General features: G+C 46.9%; 1 protein-coding gene across 2 annotated transcripts in view, besides 3 other annotated features; it reads left to right on the top strand.

Moving 5' to 3' along the window:
- CNGB1 (cyclic nucleotide gated channel subunit beta 1) overlaps nucleotides 1-16,234 on the top strand; it is an 88,789-nt gene extending 72,555 nt beyond the window's left edge. For both annotated transcript variants that reach the window (NM_001286130.2, NM_001297.5), the window contains exons 30-33: nucleotides 660-778; nucleotides 1,031-1,177; nucleotides 10,500-10,719; nucleotides 14,117-16,234. In NM_001286130.2, the coding sequence (NP_001273059.1) occupies nucleotides 660-778; nucleotides 1,031-1,177; nucleotides 10,500-10,719; nucleotides 14,117-14,410 (780 nt within the window). In that variant the 3' untranslated portion in view covers nucleotides 14,411-16,234. The remainder of the gene's footprint in view (nucleotides 1-659; nucleotides 779-1,030; nucleotides 1,178-10,499; nucleotides 10,720-14,116) is intronic.
- Nucleotides 13,892-14,439: an enhancer, noted in NCBI's record as "H3K27ac-H3K4me1 hESC enhancer chr16:57918039-57918586 (GRCh37/hg19 assembly coordinates)". NCBI's record gives its function as "activates a minimal SCP1, AML or CMV promoter by ChIP-STARR-seq in primed H9 embryonic stem cells {active_cell/tissue: H9 hESC(primed)}" and the evidence as "EXISTENCE:reporter gene assay evidence [ECO:0000049][PMID:30033119]".
- Nucleotides 14,440-14,987: an enhancer, noted in NCBI's record as "H3K27ac-H3K4me1 hESC enhancer chr16:57917491-57918038 (GRCh37/hg19 assembly coordinates)". NCBI's record gives its function as "activates a minimal SCP1, AML or CMV promoter by ChIP-STARR-seq in primed H9 embryonic stem cells {active_cell/tissue: H9 hESC(primed)}" and the evidence as "EXISTENCE:reporter gene assay evidence [ECO:0000049][PMID:30033119]".
- Nucleotides 19,813-19,862: an enhancer, noted in NCBI's record as "active region_10917". NCBI's record gives its function as "activates an Ori minimal core promoter by ATAC-STARR-seq in GM12878 lymphoblastoid cells {active_cell/tissue: GM12878}" and the evidence as "EXISTENCE:reporter gene assay evidence [ECO:0000049][PMID:35858748]".

The following is a 24,912-nucleotide window of genomic DNA, read 5'->3' as shown; positions in this document are numbered from 1 at the left end:
CATGGTGGCACATGCTTGTAATCCCAGCTACTCGGGAGGCTGAAGCATGATGCCTGTAATCGCAGCTGTTTGGGAGGCTGAAGCACAAGAATTGCTTGAACCCAGGAGGCAGAGGTTGCAGTGAGCTAAGATCATGCCACTGCACTCCAGCCTGGGCGACAGAGCGAGACTCCATCTCAAAAAAAAAAAGGCAATTTGAATATTATCGTTATTGTTGTTCCCATTCCTGTTGCAGTTAGCAAATTCTTCCCGAGCCCCTGAGATGTGCCAGGTGTAGACATCATTTGATGGTGGGAGCTGCTATCTGATTTGCCCTGCCTCCATCAGTGAGTCTAACTGGAATTTGCAGAATTCCATTATACCTGCACCTCCCAGGTTAGCTGGCACTTCCCATTCCATGACATCACTAACTCCCCCACTGCAACCCTGTCAGTTATGGAGGGCATGGGGTAGTCACTCCTCCAAGTCTACAGATGGGGTGACTGAGGCCTGAGAGGGAAGTGACTGCCCCCACACGACACCCCAAGTTGTGGTGGCAGGGCTGGACCCCAGTGCCTAGGTTCCTCCTTGCCGGACCTCCAGCCTCTGGATCCAGCCCTGGCTGCTTCTCTGGTGACTTTGGGGGATGAACAGAGGGACTTGTCACTTCTTTGTTTCAGGGGGAGATCGGCCGTGAGATGTACATCATCCAGGCAGGGCAAGTGCAGGTCTTGGGCGGCCCTGATGGGAAATCTGTGCTGGTGACGCTGAAAGCTGGATCTGTGTTTGGAGAAATAAGGTCAGACGCAGCTGGGGTAAAGTGAGGGGCCTGGGGCAAGGGCTGGGAAAGAAGGCGGCCAGCGGGCAGTGCGAGTGTCTACGGCTTGGTAGATGCAGCACTGGCACCTGCTGATGTATGCGGGGATGGGGGCGGGGGAAGGTTCTCATCTGTGTGGGGCCACCACTGTCCTCCACACATGGGAAATGAAGATCTGAATGTGACCGAAACGGCAGTCTCTGAAGGGCCTCCTTCCTCCCTTCTCTGCCCCAGCTTGCTGGCTGTTGGGGGCGGGAACCGGCGCACGGCCAACGTGGTGGCGCACGGGTTTACCAACCTCTTCATCCTGGATAAGAAGGACCTGAATGAGATTTTGGTGCATTATCCTGAGTCTCAGAAGTTACTCCGGAAGAAAGCCAGGTATGTAACTTTTCTTTCGTTTAATAAAAAATTGCTAAGGACAATGAATTTCTCTTACATAACCACAGTACCTTTATCTTTTTTTTTTTTTTTTTGAGATGACATCTTGCTCTGTCACCCAGTCTGGAGTGCAGTGGAGTGATCATGACTCACTACAGTCTCAACCTCCTAGGTTCAAGTGATCCTCCTGCCTCAGCCTCCCATGTAGCTGGGACTATAGGCACGTACCACCATTCCCAGCTAATTTTTAAAATTTTTTTCTAGAGCTGGGGTCTCACTATGTTGCCTAGGCTGGTATCAAACTCCTGGGCTCACATGATCTGCTCTGACCTCCCAAAGTGCTGGGGTTACAGGTGTGAGCCACTGCGCCTGGCCTAGTACCTTCATTAAAATAAGGAAATTTCGTATTGAAACAACACTATTATCTCATTCACAATCCATCTTCAGATTTTGCTAATTCTTTAAGAGTATCCTTTGTACCTTTTCTTCTTTTCCATTCCTGAATCAGGTCTAGGATCACATATTGTAATTAAGGTGCAGAGTATTCTTAGTCTTCCTTGATCTGGGATAGTTCCTCAGGCTTTTCCAACCTTTAGTGACTTGGACTTCTTTTAAGCATATAGGCCAGTTATTTTATTTATTTATTTATTTATTTATTTATTTATTTATTTATTTATTTATTTTGAGACAGAGTCTTGCTCTGTCGCCCAGGCTGGAGTGCCGTGGCACAATCTTGGCTCACTGCAACCTCTGCCTCCTGGATTCAAGCAATTCTCCTGCCTCAGCCTCCTGAGTAGCTGGGATTACAGGTGCACACCACCACGCCCGGCTAATTTTTGTATTTTTAGTAGAGACGGGGTTTCACCATGTTGGTCAGGCTGGTCTCAAACTCCTGACATCGTGATCCACCCCCCTCGGCCTCCCAAAGTGCTGGGATTACAGGCGTGAGCCATTGCACCCAGCCCATACAGGCCAGTTATTTTACAGAATGCCCCTCAGTTGGGGTTTGTCTGATGTTTTCTCGTGATTACCATTAGAGTGTGCATTTTTGGCAGGAAGAACTCAGAAGTGAGTCGCTTCTGCAGCAAATGTATCGAGAGGCGCACGATGCCATTTACTCCCAATATCGATGATTTTTACTTTGATTACTTGGTTAAGGTTTCTGTATTGTAAACCTATTTTCCCTTAAACCTAATTCCTAAGTAATTAGTGGGTAGTCACCTTCAGACTATGAGGATATCCTGTTCCCTGTCAAACTTTTACCCACTGCTTTTAGCATCCTTTGATGGTTCCTCCCTATGATAGTTACAAAGAGATTGCTATGATAGTTGTAAAATGGAAATTTTGTAACTCCACTCCCTCCTTGATTATTAGCTGGCAGTCAGCTGTGTGGAAGAGCTTTCTCTTCTCTCCCATTTGTTTATTCATTTCTCAATGTATATAGGCATGGATTTACTTGATTCCATGAATACTCTGTTAACAATCATTATTTTGATGCTCAAATTAGTCCAGTTTGGCCAGTGGGCACTTTTTCAAGGTGGCTCATTTGTGACCTTCGTGATATCCCTGTCATATTTTAGCACTTCCTTGCTTACTCAAGGAGCAGTAAGCCACAACCAGATGCCCTGGTTCATCTTGTACTTCCCTTGCAGTATCCTGGAAATGGCCATTTCTCCAAGGAGCCTTGATTCCTTTTACTGGGGGATGGTTTTTAGAAACCACGATCTGAGTCCTAGGAGCAGTCATTGCTACTGGAGTGCTACTAGGCCTCTGCAGCAGACAGAACCAAGAAACACACCCACATACACACCAAGATGTATAAGTACAAATATATATATATATATAAAAAATACATATATAATATATTATGTATATATAAAATACATACACACACATATACATGTATATGCCAACTTAAATTTTTCTGTCTATTCTACTGATTATCTATAAAACAATTTCAATCCAGCACCACAGAATTCATTCTTTTTTTTTTTGAGACGGAGTTTCACTCTTGTCACCCAGGCTGGAGTGCAGTGGCGCCATCTCAGCTCACTGCAACCTCTGCTGGAATTACAGGCATGTGCCACCACACCTGGCTAATTTTTGTATTTTCAGCAGAGATGGGGTTTCACCATGTTGGCTAGACTGGTCTCAAACTCCTGACCTCAGGTGATCTGCCTGCCTTGGCTTCCCAGAGTTGCTGGGATTACAGGTGTGAGCCACCGTGCCCTGCCACCACATATTAGAATTCATTCTAATATTCTCCCTTTTCATACTTGTAAATCTCTTCTCCAACACTGAGCAATACAGGGAAGTTCATTTCAGAATTTCCAGCCCATGTCACTGTAAAAACAAAAAGTAAGGCTTCTAGGTAGAGTTCAGTACTGGATGCAGTTCTTTTGTGTTTAGCCCGAGTATATATGATGGAAGTGTTACGTTCAAAGTTATCTGGAGTCGTTCTCTTCCTCCACTACCCTTTAATGTGGTTACTTTATTCATTTGAAATACAGGTAGGTTCACTTGTTTCAGTTTACATTCCATTTAGGGCTCCTGCCACCCTGATCTTTGTTGACTTTTTCTTGTTTTCAGTATGTAGAACATTAACATGTTCCTGAAGGTCAACACTCTGCAAAATGGGGCACTCAGAAAAGCGTCCCAACTCTCCCTGTCCCCATTGCCCCCTGACTGCAACTCCCATTATTACGTGGCTCGTTGCATCAATTTCTGCCTTTTCTTTCCTCTGCTTACTTTTGCGAAAATGGACAAGTCCACAGACATTTTCTTTTTTTCTTTTTTGAGATGAAGTCTCATTCTGTAGCCTGGGCTGGAGTGCAGTGGTTAGGTCTTGGCTCACTGCAACCTCCACCTCCCGGGTTCAGGTGATTCTCCTGCCTCAGCCTCCTGAGTAGCTGGGATTACAGGCATCTGCCACCATTCCCAGCTAATTTTTGTATTTTTAGTAGAGATGGGGCTTTGCCACGTTGGCCAGGCTTGTCTCGAACTTCTCACCTCAGGTGATCTGCCCGCTTCTGCCTCCCAAAATTCTGGGATTACAGGTGTGAGCCACCACACCCAGCCCAAACATTTTCTTATTTCTTCTTCTTTCTTACACAAAATATGGCATGCTGTAGATTCTTGTACTTTGCTTTGTTTCCACATGACGACAAAACCCGGAAATCATTGTCTATCAGTGCAGAGTCAGCTTCCTCATTCCTTTCCACAGTGGCAGAACATTCCTGTAAATGGACATTTAGGGTATTTCCACAATTTTGCAATTACAAACAGTGGTGCAACGAATAACCGTGTGCATCCGTATTTTGCATTGTTGGGGAACAGGTCATTCTTTTTAGAAAAGCCGGTTTTTGTTTTCAAACCCTTAAGATCAGGTTTCAAATTGAGCGACAGGCAACGTAGTGTGTCAGGAACCCCACAATAGGTCTGGGAGGCTGGCGGGGCTCAGATCCCTTCCATGTGAGGTGCTGGCTGTGTGACTTTGAGGAAGTTGTTTAACTTTTCTGGTCTCAGTTGTCTCCTATGTAAAATAAAGGTCATAACCCCTACTTTGCTGCTGTAAATTTTTTTTGTTTTTTTGAGATGGAGTCTTGCTTTGTCGCCAAGGCTGGAGTGCAGTGGCGCAATCCTGGCTCACTGTAACCTCTGCCTCCTGGGTTCAAACAATTCGATTCTCCTGCCTCAGCCACCCCAATAGCTGGGACTACTGCAGGCACATGCCACCACACCCGGCTAATTTTTGTATTTTAAGTAGAGACGGGGTTTCACCATGTTGACCAGGCTGGTCTGGGACTTCTGACCTCAGGCGATCTGCCCGCCTTGGCCTCCCAAAGTGCTGGGATTACAGGTGTGAGCCACTGTGCCTGGCCTGCTGCTGTGAAAATTAAATAGTGTGCAGGAATGTCTCCGGTGGGGTGCCTGTCATACAAGAGAGCTCAGTGCATGTTAATAAGGATCACTTCAGGCCGGGCGCAATGCTGCATGATTGTAATCCCAGCACTTTAGGAGGCTGAGGCGGGAGGATCATTTCAGCCCAAATATTTAAGGTTACAGTGAGTTATGATCGTGCCACTGCACTCCAGCCTGGGTGACAGAGCAAGACCCTGTCTCTCAGATAAATAAGCAATTGTTCCTCTGTAGCCATCAAATTCACCCTATAATTTTTCAGTTGGGTAAAACCTTTTTAATCCACATATCTGGGTTTTCCTCCTTGTCTTGTATCACACATTCTTATTTTCCCCTTCATTCTATACAATGACACCATAAATAAACTGCACAGAGAGCTGTCATAATAGAGGGAAGAAACTCACCAGCATCCATTCCTACAGCACAGTGATGTATCGAGTACACAGTGCTGAGTTCTGGGGACACAGGAGGGACCAAACAAAACTCACATTCTAGTCAGGGAACCGGCAATGGAAAGATGAGCGATGATGTGATGCGTCTGGCTACGAGGAAACACAAAGCCACGGGAGGAGCGGGAAGTGACGGAGAGCTGTCTGAGATAAGCTGGTTGGGGAAGCTGCTCTGAGCAGGTGGCATTTCAACGAGACCTGCACAAAGCAAAGGAGTGAGCTGGGGGACTGATGGCTGGGTACAGCATTCTGGGAAGAGGGAACAGCATGTGCAGAGGCCCTGGGGAGGAGCAGGCTTAGTGTGTGGGTGGCACAACAGCAAGAAAATTAGCATAGCTTGGTATGGGATCAGAGGAGTCTAGGGGAAGAGATTGGGTCAGACCTCAGAGGAAGATGGGAGCCATGGAGAGTTTTACACAGAGGAGTGACTTGAAGTGCCTTAGGTTTTCACAGGAGCCCTTTGGCAGCTTCGAGGTAAAAGGATGTAGTGTTGATGTCCAAGCATCATGCACACAAGACACTGAGGTCCCCTGGGGAAGGAAGCTGCCCCCAAACTCACCTTACCTGGTTGCTCTCAAGGGACCCACTGGACCCTTCCAAAACCCAGTCTATCTGAATTTCTCCCAGAAAATCTCCCCACGTTCCCCACCACATCAGTGGTGCGTGCCAGTGCCTCCTCTCCCCAGGGACAGGGAGGTAGAGTGGACCCTTGTGATTCATGGACTCCATATTTGCAAATTCGCCTCCTCACTGAAATGGACTTGCAACGCCAAGATCAATACTAACAGGCTTTTGTGGTCATTCAAGGACATGCCCAGAGCAGCAAAATACTTGAGTCACCCCAAGTGCACGCTCCCCGCTGAAGTCCCTGTTCTGTCTTGTGGTTTTAGCTCTTGTACTGCGAAGAGGTGTCTTTTTATGGTCCATTTAATGCTACTCTTTTTTTTTTTTTTTTTTGCATTTTTGTGCTTTTTGTTGGCGATTGCACTGTTTAAAATGGCCCCCCAGCATAGTGCTGAAGTGCCGTCTCATGTTCCTAAGCACAAGAAGTCTGCAATGTGCCTTACACAGAAAATATGTGTTAGATAAGCTTCATTCAGGCATGAATTACAGTGCTGTTGGCTGTGCGTTCAATGTTAATAAAACAATAATCTATATTTAATAAGATGTCTTTAGCCGGCACAGTGGCTCATGCCTGTAATCCCAGCACTTTGGGAGGCTGAGGTGGGTGGATCACCTGAGGTCAGGAGTTCAGGATCAGCCTGGCCAACATGGTGAAACCCCATCTCTACTAAAAATACAAAAATTAGCCAGGCGTGGTCATGGGCACCTATCATCCCAGCTACCCGGGAGGCTGAGGCAGGAGAATGGCTTGACCCTGGGAGGCAGAGGTTGCAGTGAGCCAAGATCACACCACTGTAATGCAGCCTGGGCAACAAAGTGAGACTCTGTCTCAAAATAATAATAATAATAATGTCTTTAAAAAGAAACACACATAAGACAAGTTTATTATTATTAATTTTAGAGACAGGGTCGTGCTCTTTCACCCAGGCTGGAGTGCAGTGACACGATCATAGCTCACTGCAGCCTCGAACTCCTGGGCTCAAGAAATCTCCCGCCTTGGCCTCCCAGTGTTCTGGGACTGTGTGTGAACCACCACGCCTGGCCAAGTTCATGTATTATGGTTGATGAATGTTGTGATGGGAGATTTGTAGGAATCTAGCCTTGTATTTCCCCTAGGAACAATGTTTCCATTTTTGCTAATTCAGTGTCCGCAGAGATCTTATAGGACATAATTACTACAAATCATGAGATTCAACTGCTTATGACTGAAAACTGGTACCAGGTCTCCCCACCCTCTCTTCTTGCCCCCACCCCCACCAGGAGGAGCAAAGCTCAGGAAAGCCATGCTTTTAGCTGTTACCCATCCTGCTGGGTGGGTTAGGCAAGAGTTTGGCAAATCAGATGGGACCCCAAAGGCACCTCCCAAGAGCTGTGCAGAGGCCCCCATTCCTGACAGTGCCTGTGCACCTGTGTCCACACTGAGAAGGCTGAGGTGTGGGTGGGAGGCAGCCAGGCGAAGGAATGGGGCTAACAGGCCTCACAGCAACATGGGGGGGCGTGGGAATGGGGGTCTCAGCCATGAGTCATCAGAGTGGTTGTTTGCTGGCCAGGCCAGCTTGACCAGAGAGGCAGGGGATTGTGTATGAGCTCTGCTCATCAGGGGAGATACACTGTCTGAGAACCATAGTCCCGGGGACATCTGAGTTGGTGAGGGCCACGTGTGGGATTCTGTCCAAGCTCCCTGCTTTGCAGATGGGGGACCTGGGTCCCCAAAGAAGTGAAGTGCTGAGATCTCCGGCTTGACCACTCCAAAAAAGAGGATGAAGAGGTCTTATGTGGGTCACTTGCTCCAGGCTGATTGCTCAATCTCAGTTACAGGGAAGCATACATCATCAGAAAATGAGGACAAATTTCCCTAATCTGGAAATGCCCCAGAAGCTAGCTCAATGTTTCCAAACAGAGACAGCTAGTAGCAATCAGCAAAGGTCCTATACATAGTTATTTTGTTAGAAAGAAAAAGATAGTTCATTTTCACAGCACCCTCAGCCTTCCTGTGGGCTGTCACATCATGAATTATGGACTCAAATAACATGGGGGACAGTGCCGAGCTGGCGCGTGTCAGAGGCGTCTGGTGAATTATCATGTTTGTGTTCTCCTGGGGGATCTCCAGCTAGAAATGCAAATCTTGGGCAATTAATATCAACATGCACAATTTAAACCCATTGCCTCTGATTAGATAAGCAGCCAGTAATGGCCTCATTTTTAAACAAACAAGTTTTGCTGGAGCCTTGATGAATGAATTTGCCAATTCATTGTCTAGGCCCGCTGGTTGCAGGCAGAATTCATTTGTTCTTGAGACAAACTGCTCACCGCATGTTTGTAGTGTGAAAAATTGCCGGTAAAAAGCTAGGGCTCTCTTTGATGGAAAATCTACCCTTATCTAGAGAAACAGGGTGGTACATGCCATTAGATGTGGGTGGCAATTCTGCTTCTGCCACTTCCTGGTAACCTTGGGCACGTCACTCCCCCTGCTCTGAGCCTCAATTTCCCCAACTGTCAGAGGCACAATAATCTCAGCCCTTTCCATGTCACAGGGGTATTTGTCAGTGCCCAGGAAGATAATGATGCAATGTCGTTTTGTAATCATTAATATCTGGGGCACTGGGGTCAGAAGTGTGGGTTTGAATTCTAGCTTTGCCGCTTCTTAGCTGTGTGGCCTTGGGAAAGTTACTCACCCCCTCTGAACTTCTATACCCTCATTTGGAAATGAGGATGAATAATAAGACCTACTTATGGGGATTGTTGTGAGACTTAAATGAGAGAGTATGTATTAGCATAACAGTATTACCACAAATTTAGCTGTTTAAAGTCACACATTTGCGATCTCAGTTTCTGTGGGTTAGAAGTCCGGACATGGCTTAGCTAGGTCCTCTGCAAGATTGTCATCAAGATGTCTTCCAGAGCAGGCTCTCATCTCAAGTCTGGATGGGGGAAGGACCCACTTCCAGGATCACATGGTTGTTGGTGTAATTCAGTTCCTTGGGGTTGTAGGACTGGGGCCCCAGCTCCCACTAGCAATTGGCCAGTGGCTGGCCTCAGGTCCTTGCCATGTGGGCCTTCTCCAACACAGCTGGCTGCTCCCTACATCAAAGTCATCAAGGGAGGCCAGGCACTGTGGCTCGTGCCTGTAATCCCAGCACTTTGCGAGGCCATGGCAGGAGGATTGCTCGAGCCCAGGAGTTCAAGACCAGCCTGAGCAACATAGGGAGACCCCGTCTCTATTACTTAAAATAAAAATCAAATAAAAAATAAATAAAGTCAGCAAGGGAGAGTCCCCTTGCAAGACAGAGATCACAATCCTGTGTGACATATTCTACCAGTGATAGCCCTTGTTGTATTCGATTGTTTAAAAGCAAGACACGTACCCCACCCATCCTCAAGGGAAGGGGACCACACAGAGGCGTGAACACCAGGAAGGGGGTAATAGGAGCCACTGAAGGGTGCCTGCAAAGGATGGAGCAGAGGGCCTGGCATATACAGACACTCAGTAAATGCTGATAATTGTGATGGTGACGAGGGGGAGGTGACAGTGAAGCAGAAGGAGAAGGAAAGAGCTTTGGTTCCTTTTCCACCTGGGCATCTTATTCCCAATTCCCTATGTGAAAGTGTCCTTCAGGATTTCCTAACTCTTCTGCTGGTTAAAAAAAAGAAAGAGGCCAGGCGCGGTGCCTCACACCTGTAATTTCAACACTTTGGGAGGCCAAGGCGGGTAGATCGCTTGAGCCCAGGAGTTTGAGACCAGCCTGGGCAACATGGCGAAACCCTGTCTCTACAAAAAGATAAAAAATTGTGGTGGTGCATACCTGTAGTTCCAGCTACTCAGGTGGGAGGATTGCTTGAGCCATGGAGGTCAAGGCTGCAGTAAGCCATGATCACGCCACTACACTCCTGCCTGGGCGACAGAGCCAGACCCTGTGAGAAAGAGAGAGAGAGAGAGACAGAGACAGAGACAGAGAGAGAGAGGAAGAGAAGAGGAGAGAGGAGAGAAGACAGAAGAGAGAGGAGAGAGAGAGAGACAGAAAGGAAGGAAAGAGAAGAATTTCGTAGCTGTGTGACCTCAGACAAGTTATTCAACCTCTCTGAGCATCATTTTCCTCATCTCTAAGGTACAACAGACAGTAAGACCCACCTCATTACAGTTGTTCTGATCCTTCAATGAGATGCAATGCATAAAGTACTTAACACGACGCTTGGCCCAGAAAAAACTCTCTACAATCACCAGCCAAAATCACCACCACTACACAGCTCCAGCTTAAAGGAGGCTGCAGAAGCGAGTCTTTCTTTTCCCCCAGAGTGCGTCTGTGATGTCAATGGATGCTGCTTTCTTCCAGGCGCATGCTGAGAAGCAACAATAAGCCCAAGGAGGAGAAGAGCGTGCTGATCCTTCCACCCCGGGCGGGCACCCCAAAGCTCTTCAACGCTGCCCTCGCTATGACAGGAAAGATGGGTGGCAAGGGGGCAAAAGGCGGCAAACTTGCTCACCTCCGGGCCCGGCTCAAAGAACTGGCCGCGCTGGAGGCGGCTGCAAAGCAGCAAGAGTTGGTGGAACAGGTAATGTGGTTGGGAACCCAGCCACCACGTTCATTTCAATATGTGTCAGGGAGAAGGCCAAGGGGTCTCCAAGAGTGGGCCACACATTTAGTTTTAGGGTCTTCCCCCTCCTTTTTCTATCAGTCAGGGCTCATTTGGTTACCAGTGACAGAGTGCAAGCTCAAATTAGCTTGAGAAAAACGGGAATTAGGGGTCACGTAATCGAAAAGTTCAGGCAAGCCTGGATCCAAAAGCCCGAAAGATGCCAACAGGACGAGTTTTCCCATCGTGTCATCTCTGCTTTATTCAGTGATGGTTTTATCTCCAGACAGGTTCTCAAGAGTTCTATCTAGGATGACATCCTCCTGGCATAGCAACTCCAACAGAAAGAAAGCACCTCTTTCCCAGGGATTCTAGCAAAAGTTCCAGGACTCACTGTCATTGGACAGAATTGGGTCACATGCCAATTCTTGAGCCATTCGGTGTGGCCAGGGCACTATGGTGCTCTAAAGAGGCCTGGGTCACATACCCGCCCCTGGACTGAGAGTAGGCTGGGAGCAGGATCTCTAAAAGGCAGTCTTGATACTGTTGCAGAGGTTAGAGGAGAGGGTATGAGAAGCAAATGTCCGGCCCCAGAAGACAGTGTGTCCTCATATTTAATACTGTGTCTGTGACAATTTAAGATATTTGGGTCAGGCATGGTAGCTCACACTTGTAATCCCAGCACTTTGAAAGGCCAAGGCAGGAGGATCTCTTCAGGCCAGGATTTCAAGACCAGCCTGGGCAACATAGCGAGAACTTGTCTCTACAAATTTTTTCTTTTTTTCTTTTTAATTAGCCAGGCTTAGTGGCACATGCCTGTGGTCCTAGCTACTTGGGAGGCTGAGTTGGGAGCATCACTTGAGCCCAGGAAGTCGAGACTGCAGTGAGCTATGATTGCACCATTGCACTCCAGCCTGGGTGACAGAGTGAGACCCTGTCTCAAAAAATGAAAAATAAAAATTTGAAAGTGAAAACCTCTCACACAGGCAAAATGCCAAATGTCCCCACCCCCATAAACCTATGGGGGACATTAAAATTAGTTCTGGGACTTTTTTCTGTGACCAAAGCCAAGAATACCAAGTGGAATGATTACATTAATTATGTCTGTTCACGGCTGTCCTTTAGGAAGTCTGCTGGGGATCTGGAGAGGGACTGGGGTTAGGCAGACTGGGCTTAACAGTCTACACAGCAGAGTTCAAAGGAGCCCAGTGAACTCAGTCTCAATCCAGCCTGGTGTCAGAGTCCAGGAGACCCATCCAGATGTTGTTTGACAGTAGAAGTCTGGTGAGTGACATCAAAGCCATTTGGGGTACCAAGACATTCTCCAGATACAGCCACCAATGGCCCCAGACTGAGGAAAGATGTGATTGCCTGGCTCACAAACTGTCAAGGTCAAGGTGGAGCTGGCAAGTGGGGGTCTTCAGTGCTGGCTGCTGTGAGGGCTGACTAGACAGGAACTCCAAGGGTGCTCCCAGTACACCAAGAGCTTCAGCTGGGGTGGGCTTGTGGCTCCTAAGTGGTAGCTCTTCAGCAAGGGGGCTTTAAGATGGGAATTAAATTTGCATGAGTGTTCCATTAAAAGGCACTTCCCTTCCAAATCAGAACAACCAGGGCAGAATGGCAGAGTACAGGGAGCTCTTAACTAGACATTCAGAGACACAAATCCAAATCCCAGCTCTGTCACCCACTAGCTCCATGACCCAGGAAGCCCCTCAAGCTTTCCGAGACTTGGATTACTGAGGGTTGCCTCATGAGGTCATAAAGATCAGGCAGGATTACCTTGGAGGCCTTTTAGAAAAGCATGTTGAACACAGCAAAGCACTTTTCTAACTTCCCATGAGCTGCTGATTCCAGCCATAGCACCATGCTTCAGGAAGTTCCACGATGCTCACCATCTAAGCATCCTGCCCTGGAAATGTGTTGTCAAGAGTTTAGGGTGGGCTGGGCACAGGTGGCTCACCCCTGTCATCCCAGCACTTTGGGAGGCCAAGGTGGGCAGATCACTTGAGGTCAGGAGTTTAAGACCAGCCTAACCAACATGTAAAACCCCATCTCTACTAAAGATACAAAACCTTAGCCAGGCATGATGGCACACACCTGTAATCCCAGCTACTCGGGAGGCTGAGGCAGAAGAATCGCTTGAACCTGGGAGGCAGAGGTTGCAGTGAGCTGAGATCACACCACTGCACTCCATCCCGGGTGGCAGAGCAAGACTCCGTCTAAGAAAGAAAGAAAGAAAGAAAGAAAGAAAGAAAGAGAGAGAGAGAGAGAGAGAGGAAGGAAGGAAAGAAGGAAGGAAGGAAGGAAAAAAGGAAGGAAGGAAGGAAAGAAGGAAAGAAAGAAAGAAGACAAAAAGAATAGAGTGTAGGGTGGACAGGGGAGGGTGGGACAGGGGCACCAAAACATAGGGAAACACTGAGACAGAGGGAGAAGCATGTCCCAAGAGAGGCCTTGGGTTCTTGGAGCATTTTGGCTGCCCCCTCTCCATTCCTCCTTTCCTTCAATATCCTATGACTTGAGCAAATGGCGCAGGTCTCTCTGCACAAGCACATTGACTGCTCTCACTTGAAACTCACAAACACCACTTCACATGGGTCTTGGGCAGCTGAGGACCATCCTGGCCTCCTCTGGGGGCTGCTCCCTCTCCAGTTTCCTTCCGTGCAGAGATGGGGTCAGGCAGAGTGGGAGGGGCCACAGGTATCCGCAAAGGCTTGATTTAATTACCCAGTCCCCTACTGATGTGAAGACCATGGCCATCGTTTGTGGGAGGCAGCACAGGCTGGAGGCTGGAGGTATCCATCAGGTCCCCACACATGGGGTCAGCGCAGCCCAATAGCAGGGGTACCCAGCCCCAGGGTATCCCTGAGGATCTCAACCTTTGAGACTTCCCAGAAAGGGGGCCCAGCCCCAGCAGCCTCTCCCTTCATCACTTTTTACCCTGTTTGCTTGGAGTTTTTCTCATCCACTCCAGGAGTGCCCACCCCTGGTAACAGATGGTTGGTTCAGCCTTTGCAGAGGCCTTGCGGGTACTCCCTCAGAGTCACTGCCTGGCTTGCTTCAATAGCTCGGGGGAGGGGCCCTGAACTTGAAACAACAGCCTCATCCCAGCTTCCAGCCCCACAGCCTAGATCTAAGACATCCCAAGACTTTCCACGAAATCCAACCGGGACTTTTAATCTGTACACTTCCCCATAATGTATTTTGTTTCTCCTAAATAACCCCGATGCGGCTCCACCCCACCCACTAGATTTCACCCGCTGTGTGTTCCGCTGCCCTCTTTGGGGGTCCAAAAAGGCTGGAACAGGGAGGTGTCCAAGACCCTTCCAAGACCCCTCCGAGAGTCTGTGCCTCACGAGTCACCCTTTCTGGATTCCAGGCCAAGAGCTCGCAAGACGTCAAGGGAGAGGAAGGCTCCGCCGCCCCAGACCAGCACACGCACCCAAAGGAGGCCGCCACCGACCCACCCGCGCCCCGGACGCCCCCCGAGCCCCCGGGGTCTCCACCGAGCTCTCCACCGCCTGCCTCCCTTGGGAGGCCGGAGGGAGAGGAGGAGGGGCCGGCCGAGCCCGAAGAGCACTCGGTGAGGATCTGCATGAGCCCGGGCCCGGAGCCGGGAGAGCAGATCCTGTCGGTGAAGATGCCGGAGGAAAGGGAGGAGAAGGCGGAGTAAGGTGGGGTGAGGCGGATCCCGCGCGCAGTTCCAGCAGGTGTGTCCCCAGCGCCCGCTGCGCCCCTGCGCCCCAGCGCCCCACCTTCCCCCACGGCTCAAGAGAAGATGCTTTTCCGTAGTCGTGACCTCAGTGGCTGCAGCTCTGACCGTCCCGCCAGCACGCCAGCCCCGACTCAGCTCCTCGCGGGGCTGGGCCTGAGCTCGACAAGTTGCATCAAGTGTTCGAGTCCCTGAGCTCTCACTATCATTTGAGAGCCCTACCTTTTCCTGACTGTTCCTCTTTTTAAGAACAAAATGATTTTCCACTTTTAAAGTTCATGGGTGAGGGATAAAATGAGGCTCCAATACATGGGAAGCTTTGCTGAAAAAGTAAAGTGTTATTGAATGTGTGGGGTTTCCCCTCAGGAATTTGTCTAACACATTTCAAGGATAGAAAATACTTCACTGCCGGGCATGGTGGCTCATGCCTATAATCCCAGTGCTTTGGGAAGCCGAAGCAGGAGGATCACTGGAGGCCAAGAGTTGGAGAGCAGACTGGGCAACATAGCGAGACCTCATCTCAAACAAAAACAAAAACAAACAAAAAAACAATAGCCAGGCGTGATGGTGTGCACCTGTAGTCCCAGCTACTGGAGAGGTTGAGGCAGGAGGATGGCTTGAGCCCAGGAGTTTCTGGCTGCAGTGAGCTGGACACAGTGAGACCCTGTCTCAAAAAAACTAAAAGATAGCCCTGCACAGTGGTTCACATCTGCAATCCCAGCAGTTTGGGAAGCTGAGATGGGAGGATTGTTTGAGACCAGGAGTTCAAGACCAGCCTGGGCAACATATTGAGACCCCATCTCTACAAAACAGCAGCAGAAACAAAAGCAAACAACAACAACGTACACAAACAAAAAAACAAAGAAAGGAGGGCAGCCCGAGCTGTTCAGCTGAGAATTGCCATGGTTCTGAGCTGAGCTTGGGACGCGGTTTTCCTTTGCGGGCAATCACAGTAGGGGGCTAGATGCCCATTAAGGTAGTTAGTGCTTATCTTCCCCAGACTCTATTCAATTCCAATGCAATGCCATTATCTCAGAACAGATAGAAGGGAAATGGACTTACTGGCCAGGAGCTGCTAGCGTTTCTGCCTCTGCCAGGAGGAACAGCCCGGTAGGAGCATCCTCTGCCTGTCATCCTGAGAAACCCCATTCGCCAGCAGGGATCAGTCCGTTACTCACTTTTGACACTCTCGCTGTAGAGATGGTGGCAGCAACTTCAATTAATCCTAGAAAATGAAATCTCCCAGCTGATGACAGCACTTACATTCCCTAAAGCTTTCCAGATCGTGTCATGTTGCTTTTATGATTCAGACAAAAAAAAAAAAAGAAAAAAGAAAAAAAAAGAAAAAAGGGTCATTCAGGGAATGAATATTTATCAAGAGGATTTTATTTGCATACCAAATGGCTCTTGGGGGAGTGAGTGATTAAAAACAAAATCTAGTATTCTAGTATTAGGCCATTTGTTTCCACCTGCAACAGTGAACATAAAGGACCTGGAATTCCAATAGGTCCTGCCCATTTTATATAAAATTACAGGAAAATGTGAGCTGCTCAGAGGCCTTTGAAGGTTTGCAAATGTCTGTATGTATTTGTCCATCCACTAAAAACAACATTCATTTCCACTGTGGAAAAATGAAAGAATGTGGGAGTCCCCAGGCTGGTCTAAGCATTTCCAAACCCCAGAGTCAGAAACAGATTTGTCTAGTTGATGGCTTGTCACGTGATCCGGGTAATCATCACATTGAATATAGTGATGATTGACCTTATTATTTTACCCTATTTTTTTTTTAAAAAAAAAAGCTTTAAAAATGTATTTTAATAGGCAATAACATATTTACATGGGTACAAAAGGACATCCAATAAAAATTCTTCATCCTACCCCAGTACCCAGCTTCCTTGGTTCCCTCTCTGGAAGCAACCACTATTAACAGTTTCTCCTGTATCATTTCAGAGTTATTTTATGCTTATACAAGGAAATATGTAACTGCTTCTTCCCTTCCTTTTAAATTTTAACAGAAGTGGTAACACATATTACAGCCACTGTTATTTTTCACTTAATTTACTTTGGAGATTGTTCCCTGTCCTTAAAGAGCATGCTTATTTTTTCATGACGGCAATCTAGTTTGTTGTATGGATGTATGATAACATTTAAACGACTCTCCCATTGATGGGCATTTGCGTTGTTTCCAGTCTTACGCTGTTAAAAATAATGCTGCAATAAAACAATCTTGTGCAGACATCATTTCACTGGTAAACATTTTTTAAATGGGGGAACTCTGCGAGTTTAGGCAGTTATTTTTCCTTCGTCTCCATTTACTGTTTGTATATTTGTACCACATAGTCTAAGATCAAAGCATGGAGAATGCTTCCACCATTAGCAAGTATTTCAGATATGCTAATAAACACATTGCTTTTCCGTAAATGGCAAAATGCTTCAACAGCACCTTATCTGTGAGATCCTATTTTATAAGGAATCTTTTTTATACGAATGTACTTATTCTTTTAGATATCAGTTCTTGAATGTATACTCCTTATGATATACAGCAAGAGATTCTTGAGGTTCCCAAGAATTGTCCTGGAAAGAAAATTGATTTTGAATTGAGATTAGCAGTGTTTTAATTTCGCTGAGATAACTCCTTTAACTCAGCACTTTCACAAAACTTAAATATTAAATAAATTGAATTTGAGGCTGGCATTCTTCTCTAAATTGAATTGGACTGGTTGTTTGCTGAGGTATGAATGGAGCAGCTCGGAAGTATTATAATTCCGTAGCTGAAACAGGACGCTTATTTATGTATGTTCAATCTCTACTCATTTAAAATGTCTCAGCATTTCCTGCATTTAGATAGAAAATAAATAGTCAATTTTTTTTTTTAACTACATAAATATTTTAAATAGAATGAAAGCCAAGAAGCTGTTTCAAATTTTATTATCAAAGTGTGTTCAGCTACCTGGAATATCTTAGTCTGTTTTCTTAGTAAACATGAACACTTTATTTACACTCTGCCTTTCATATTACAATGCATTTAATTAAAGTATTTAGACAAATGTTCCTGGCTTGTGGATTCATTTCAGAAATCAGCCATGGGTGACAGACACCTCTGTGAGAAAAATTAAGTAAATGTCCTGGCCCAGGCACTCTAGCAAATGTCCTACGGACATCCTTGTGGCTCTAATCCATCCTGTATTCCTATTGCTGGAATGATATTCTTATCAAACCTCTATGGCCACTTTGGGAAGCTGAGGTGGGAGAATTGCTTGAGCCCAGGAGTTCAAGACCAGCCTGGGCAACATAGTAAGACTCCATCTCTATTAAAAGAAAAAATAGTCTGGGTGCAGTGGCTCATGCCTGAAATCCCAGCACTTTGGGAGGCTGAGGCAGGCAGATCACCTGAGGTCAGGAGTTCGAGACCAGACTGGCCAACATGGTGAAACCCCGTCTCTACTAAAAATACAAAAAAATTAGCCGGGTGTGGTGGCGGGTGTCTGTAATCCCAGCTACTTGGGAGGCTGAGGCAGGAGAATCACTGAAACCTGGGAGGCAGAGGCTGCGGTGAGCCGAGATCATGCCACTGCACTCCAGCCTGGGCGACAGAGCAAGACTCCGTCTCAAAAAAAAAGAAAAAAGAAAAAGAAAAGAAAAAATAGGGCCAGGTGTGGTGGCTCACGCCTGTAATCCCAGCACTTTGGGAAGCCAAGATGAGTGGATCACCTGAGGTCAGGAGTTCAAGACCATCCTGGCCAACATGGTGAAACCCCTCTCTCTACTAAAAATACAAAAAAATTAGCCAGGTGTGGTGGCGCATGCCTGTAATCCCAGCTACTCAGGAGGCTGAGGCAGGAGAATTGCTTGAACCCAGAAGGCGGAGGTTGCAGCGAGCCAAGATCATGCCACTGCACTCCAGCCTGGGCAACAGAGTGAGACTCTGTCTAAAAAAAAAAAAAAAAAAAAAAAAAAATAGGGCCACGTGTGGTGGCTCATACCTGTAATCCCAGCACTTTGGGAAGCTGAGATGGGTGGATCACCTGAGGTCAGGAGTTTGAGACCAGCCTGGTGAACATGATGAAACCCCATCACTACTAAAAATACAAAAATTAGCCAGGTGTGGTGGCTTACGCCTGTAGTCCCAGCTGCTCTGGAGACTGAGGCATGAGAATTGCTTGAACCCAGGAGGCAGAGGTTGTAGTGAGCTGAGATCATGCCACTGCACTCCAGCCTGGGCAACAGAGTGAGACTCAATCTCAAAAAAAAGAAAAAAAAAACAGAAAGAAAGAAAGAAAGAAAGAAAGAAAGAAAGAAAGAAAGAAAGAAAGAAAGAAAGAAAGGAAAGAAAGAAAAAGAAAGAAAGAAAGAAAGAAAGAAAGAAAGAAAGAAAGAAAGAAAACAACAACAAAAAAAAACCAAAAAACTTCCCATGGGCTCTAGGACTCTAAGCCCTTCAAGTTAAAACCCCTTTTATATCTGTGTCATCTCATCTATTATAAGACAACTTCTTACAATTTCCCCAGCCCTGTTAGATTTGTTCAATGACACACAGTGCTGATAAAGGTGGACGCAAGGATTCAGACTGCCTGGCTTCCAATCCCAGTTTGATCATATACCATGGATGATCACGGACCTCTCTGAGCCCCAGTGACCTCATCTATAATATGGATATAATACTTTGAGCCACACAGGGCCACTGTGATGATTAAGTAATAAACTGAAATTGCCAAGTTTGAATGGGCATGAGGAATAAAACCAACTCACCATCCCCCTTACTCTGATAGCTGGAGTAGACTGGAAGCCTCTGGATAGCTCTGTCTTCTTGGAACCCTGCCTCTGCCTAGGGTTATACCACAGAGGGCTTTGATCACCTCTTTTCTCGACCCTTTAACAGTGTTTGTACAAAGGGCTGGACACATGTTAATTATAACAATATAAATCTCAGCTTTCTTACCATCAATTAATGATTTAACCCAATTTTATAACAAAACAGACCCTGAAACACCCTAGCAAGACTTACTCTCCTTGGGGCAATCACTCCAGTTCTGATCTAGGCCCAGGGCTGGCTTCATGGGCTTGTGACCTGTGCAGTCACACAGGACTCTGTGTCCAGAAGGGCTCTGTGCTTGAAATTCTTAACTTTTGAACCATGGGTCCTGCATTTTATTTGCACTGGTTCCTACAAATGATATAACCTGTCCTGGCTAGGTTGCGATACTCCCCAGTATCTGAAATGACCAGTGGTTGAAGGAGGAAAAGATGTCTTTTCTGCACTCAGCTTCTGTCTCTCTTCTTCTTCTAGCCCCAGAATTCTGCTTCCCCTTTTGCAACATTACCTTTCAGTCATGCATGGTGACTCCAACACGGTGACCTAAGCCAGGCCCATTGACTCTCTTTGCTGGGAAGGTGAATCTTAAGAAGATGGCCCACTTCTTCCTTGCTAACAAAGCCCCGATTTAGCTTTGGGCAGCAGCATGCCCATCCCCAGGAGATGAAGCCCCTGGTATAAGCCAATCCCTGCTCTCTGTTCTTTTTTGCTGAATTCTTGCCTTTCCAGCCTTTTTTGTAGCTAGGTGTGACCCAGTTCCAACCAATGAATTAATCAGGTATGGAAAGCGCTCTGTTGCTGTTGTCCTTCTCTTCTCCTGCCTGGGATACTGAAGTGAGAATGTATTTGGAGCTGCAGCAGCCATCTCATGACCGAAGAGCCAAAAATTGGAGAGATGCAGCCTGTGACATGTTTGAGCTGCCAAATCAACCCTGAAACCATGAGTGTTCAGAGTACTCATTATATGAGATAATGAAATATCTTTATTATTTAAAGCCATTCATAGGGTCTCTGTTACCTGCAGCTGAAAACATCCTGATGTAGGAGCAGTGAAATGGGCTAGGCATGGTGGCTCATGCCTATAATTTCAGCACTTTGGGAGGGTGAGGCAGAAGGATCACTTGAGCCCAGCAGTTTGAGGCCAGCCTGGGTAACATAGCAAGACCCCGTCTCTACAAAAAAAAGATAAAAAAAAAAAAAATAGCTGGGCATGGTGGTGCACTCTTCTAGTCCCAGTTACTTGGGAGGCTGAGGCAGGAGAATCGCTTCAGCTCAGGAGTTTTAGGCTGTAGTGAACTATGATTGTACCACTGCACTCCAGCCTAGGTGACAGAGTCAGACCCTGTCTCTAAAAAAAGGCCAGGTGCGGCTGGGCATGGTAGCTCATGCCTGTAATCCCAGCACTTTGGGAGGCTGAGACAGGTGGATCACAAGGTCAGGAGATCGAGACCATCCTGACCAACATGGTGAAACCCCATCTCTATTAAAATACAAAAAAATTACCCGGGTGTGGTGGTGCATGCCTGTAGTCCCAGCTACTCGAGAGGCTGAGGCAGGGGAGTCACTTGAACCTGGGAGGCAGAGGTTGCAGCGAGCAGAGATGGCACCACTGCACTCCAGCCTGGTGACAGAGCAAGACTCTGTCGAAACAAAAACAAAAATAAAACAAAACAAAAAGTCCAGGTGTGGTGGCTCACACCTGTAATTCCAACACTTTGGGAGGCCAAGGTGGGCAGATTGCTTGAGCCCAGCAGTTCAACACCAGCCTAGGCAACAAGGCGAAACCCTGTCTCTACAAAAAATACAAAAATTAGCCAGGCTTTGTGGTGCTCCCAGCTACTAGGGAGGCTGAGGTGAGAGGATTGCTTGATCCAAAGAGATAGAGGCTGCAGTGAGCCATGAGCCGTGAGTGTGTCACTGCACTCCAGCTTGGGTGACAGAGTGATACCCCGTCTCAGACATAAATACATTAAAAACAATTTTTTAAAAAAATTATTTTTAAAAATTTAAAAGGAGCAATGAATTGGAGAAGGAAAGGAAGAAAATGAGGCCGGGTGCAGTGGCTCATACCTGTAATTCTAGCACTTTGGGAGGCTGAGGCTGATCTTGAACTCCTAATCACTTGAGGTCAGGAATTTGAGATCCGCCTGGCTAACATGGTGAAACCTCGTCTCTACTTTGTTTTTAGTTTTTTTTTGTTTTTTTTTTTTTAGATGGAGTTTCGCTCCTGTTTTCCAGGCTGGAGTGCAATGGCATGACCTTGGCTCACCACAACCTCCACTTCCTGGGTTCAAGCGATTCTCCTGCCACAGCCTCCTGAGTAGCTGGGATTACAGTCATGCACCACCACGCCTGGCTAATATTTTGTATTTTTAGTAGAGATGGGTTTTCTCCATGTTGGTCAGGCTGGTCTTGAACTCTCGACCTCAGGTGATCTGCCCGCTTCGGCCTCCCAAAGTGCTGGGATTACAGGCATGAGCCACCATGCCCTGCTCGTCTCTACTTAAAATACAAAAATTAGCCGGATGTCGTATCTCACACTTGTAATTCCATCTACTCTGGAGGCTGAGGCATAAGAATTGCTTGAACCCAGGAGATAGAGGTTGCAGGGAGCTAAGATTGTGCCACTGCACTCTAGCCTGGGTAACAGAATGAGACCCTGTCTCAAAAAAAAAAAAAAAAAAGAGAAAAGAAAATGGGAGCAGACGCATCACAACTTCAACCCCCTCATCACACTGGACATGAGTTCCTGCTGCTCAGGTTCTTGTTACTACCTGTGTTCTTGCCCTTCCTGGGCTAGTCGACTTTCCTTCAATGACACAAGCTACCTTGTGTATCTTCCTTCTGCTTAAGTTGGTCGGAGATGGTTTCTGTTGTTCATAATGAAAGAAGCCTAGCCGATGCAGACAAAAGTACTTCTGGGAGTTTCTTGATTATTTAAAACTCAAGATCTAGGCCACATATTCTGGGTGTGACTTTTGCTCTAGCATAGGCACTTGTGGTTTCTAAATCCAGACCTTAGGAAGATCCCCTCAGAAAAGAGATTAGAGGAGAGAGGGGGCTGTTTTTTGTTTGTTTGTTTGTTTTTTGAGACAGAATCTTGCTCTGTTGCCCAGGCTGGAGTGCAGTGGCGCAATCTCAGCTCACTGAAACCTCTGCCTCCCAGGTTGAAGTGATTCTTCTGCCTCAGTCTCCTGAGTAGCTGGGATTACAGGCGTCCACCACCATGCCCAGCTAATTTTTGTATTTTTAGTAGAGACAGAGTTTCACCACATTGGCCAGGCTGGTCTCAAACTCCTGACCTCAGGTGATGTGCCCACTTTGGCCTCCCAAAGTGCTGGGATCACAGGCATGTGCCACCATGCCTGGCTGAGGGGGCTGTTTTGACCAAGATGAAATTCAAACACCTGTCTGTGGATGGCCAGCCCAATGCGAGAGAGTGATTCACCAGCAAGGAGAACTGGAGCATCAAGCCTCATGCCCCCTAGGTACTTCCCAGCTCCCTCACTGTCCTGACACCACAGCAAAGCCCCCTGGGACAGAAACCTCCTCATCAATAACCCTTTGGACGCCCTGCCTCATTGCTGCCTTTTACTACTGGACCGAGAACAAAGGTGACAGTGCTTTAGGGCTTTGGAAACTTTTTCCCCATTCAGATAGTCTTGTCCACGCTGCTGCGTGATCAAGAAGCAAATGATCAGACCCAAATAATAGATGAGAAAATTCAAACTTAAGACAGCAAAGGGATTTATTCTCAGGGAATCAGCACCTTGGCTAGAGACAGAAACAGCCATGAGAAAAGAACCCGAAGGCCACTGTTCTGCTTCTGCCACCAACCTGCAGTGAAATCACACCTGGGTAACTTTCATTCATTCAATAAATATTTTTAAAAATTCTTTCTTTGTGCCAAACACTGTTCTAGTTACTTTCTGGCCTCAGGTGTTTCATCCCTAAGTTGGGAGGAAGAAAATAATCCTTCCAGGTTGTTATGAGAAGATTCAGGGCCAGGCGCAGTAATCCCAGCACTTTGGGAGGCTGAGACGGGTGGATCACATGAGGTCAGGAGTTCAAGACCAGCCTGGCCAAGATGCTGACACCCCTACTCTACTAAAAATACAAAAAGTAGCCGGGCGTGGTGGCACGCGTGTGTGGTCCCAGATGCTCGGGAGGCTGAGGCAGGAGAATTGCTTGAACCCGAGAGGTGGAGGTTGTGGTGAGCCGAGATCACACCACTGTACTACTCCAGCCTGGGTGACAGAGCAAGACTCTGTTAAAAAAAAAAGAAAAAAAAAGGAAGAAGATTCAAAGGATGCTTGATAAACTCATTGTAACCAAAAAATTGTGAGTAACATTTCCTAGATTCAATTTCCTGAGCACTATCTCCTTCGATATCTCTTCTGAAATGAAAAGAAAGACGGCCTGAGTGCCCTTATTTAATTTATTTATTTTTTGAGATGGAGTATTGTTCTGTTGCCCAGGCTGGAGTGCAATGGCGTGATCTCAGCTTACTACAACCTCTGCCTCCCGAGTTCAAGTGATTTCCGGCTAATTTTTGTATTTTTGGTAGAGATGCGGTTTCACCATGATGGCCAGGCTGGTTTCGAACTCCTGACCTCAAGTGATCCTGCCACCTTGGGCTCCCAAAGTACTGGGATTACAGGCGTCAGCCATTGCTCCTAGCCCTTGTATTATTCTTTCAATGGGCATAAGGTGTTGGCATCTCCAGGGGGTCCTCTTCCCTGGTCACCATGGTTGAGTTCCAGATTTAGCAAGTAAAAATACAGAAAGCCCAGGTAAATTTGAATTTCAGATAAACAATGAAGGTTTTTTTTTTTAAGCTTAAGTATATCTCATGCAATACTTGGGATATACTTATGCTAAAAAAAATTGTTATTTATCCAAAATTCAAATTCAACTTGGTGCCCTGTGTTTTTATCTGGCAATTCTGCAAGGTGAGGATGAGTGTCTCTCCTGCCCAGAGCAATTGGGGCTGCACCCTCTAGGGCCAACCTTGGGCCAGAGCCATCCTGGCATGCCCCTTCTCCAGAGCCAATCATGATTGGTGGAGGAAGAGGGAAAGCACCCACCCCAGGCTGCTGTTAGTGGTTTTTGTTTTTTATAGAGATGGGGTATCATTATGTTGCCCAGACTGGTCTAGAACTCCATGCCTCAAGCAATCCTTCTGCCTCCTTGCTGGGATTACAGGCATGTACGACCACGTCCAGCCTGTCCTGTCAGTGTTTCATTGTTCTTGTTTTTGAGACAGGGTCTTGCTCTGTCACCCACGCTGGAGTACAGTGGTTCAATCACAGCTCACTGCAGCCTCGACCTCCAGGACTCAGGTGATCCTCCTGCCACAGACATGCACCTCCACACCTGGCTATTTTTTTTTAACTATTTGTAGAGACGGGGGATAGGGGGTGGTGGGGACAAGTCGGGGGTCTCCCTATGTTGCCCAGGCTGGTCTCGAACTCCCTAACTCAAACAATCCTTTCATCTTGGCCTCCCAAAGTGTTGAGATTACAGATGTGAGCCACCACGTCTGGCCTGCCAGTGGTTTTTTAATATTTATCTTTATTAATTTTATCCTGAATGCACACACACAGGTGTTTGGGATCAGAGACAGATTTTATATTAATTACCTTTTAGC

Source organism: Homo sapiens, chromosome 16 (assembly GCF_000001405.40).
Source record: "Homo sapiens chromosome 16, GRCh38.p14 Primary Assembly".
Taxonomy (NCBI): Eukaryota; Metazoa; Chordata; class Mammalia; order Primates; family Hominidae; genus Homo; species Homo sapiens.
This window is presented reverse-complemented; position numbering and strand designations above follow the sequence as displayed.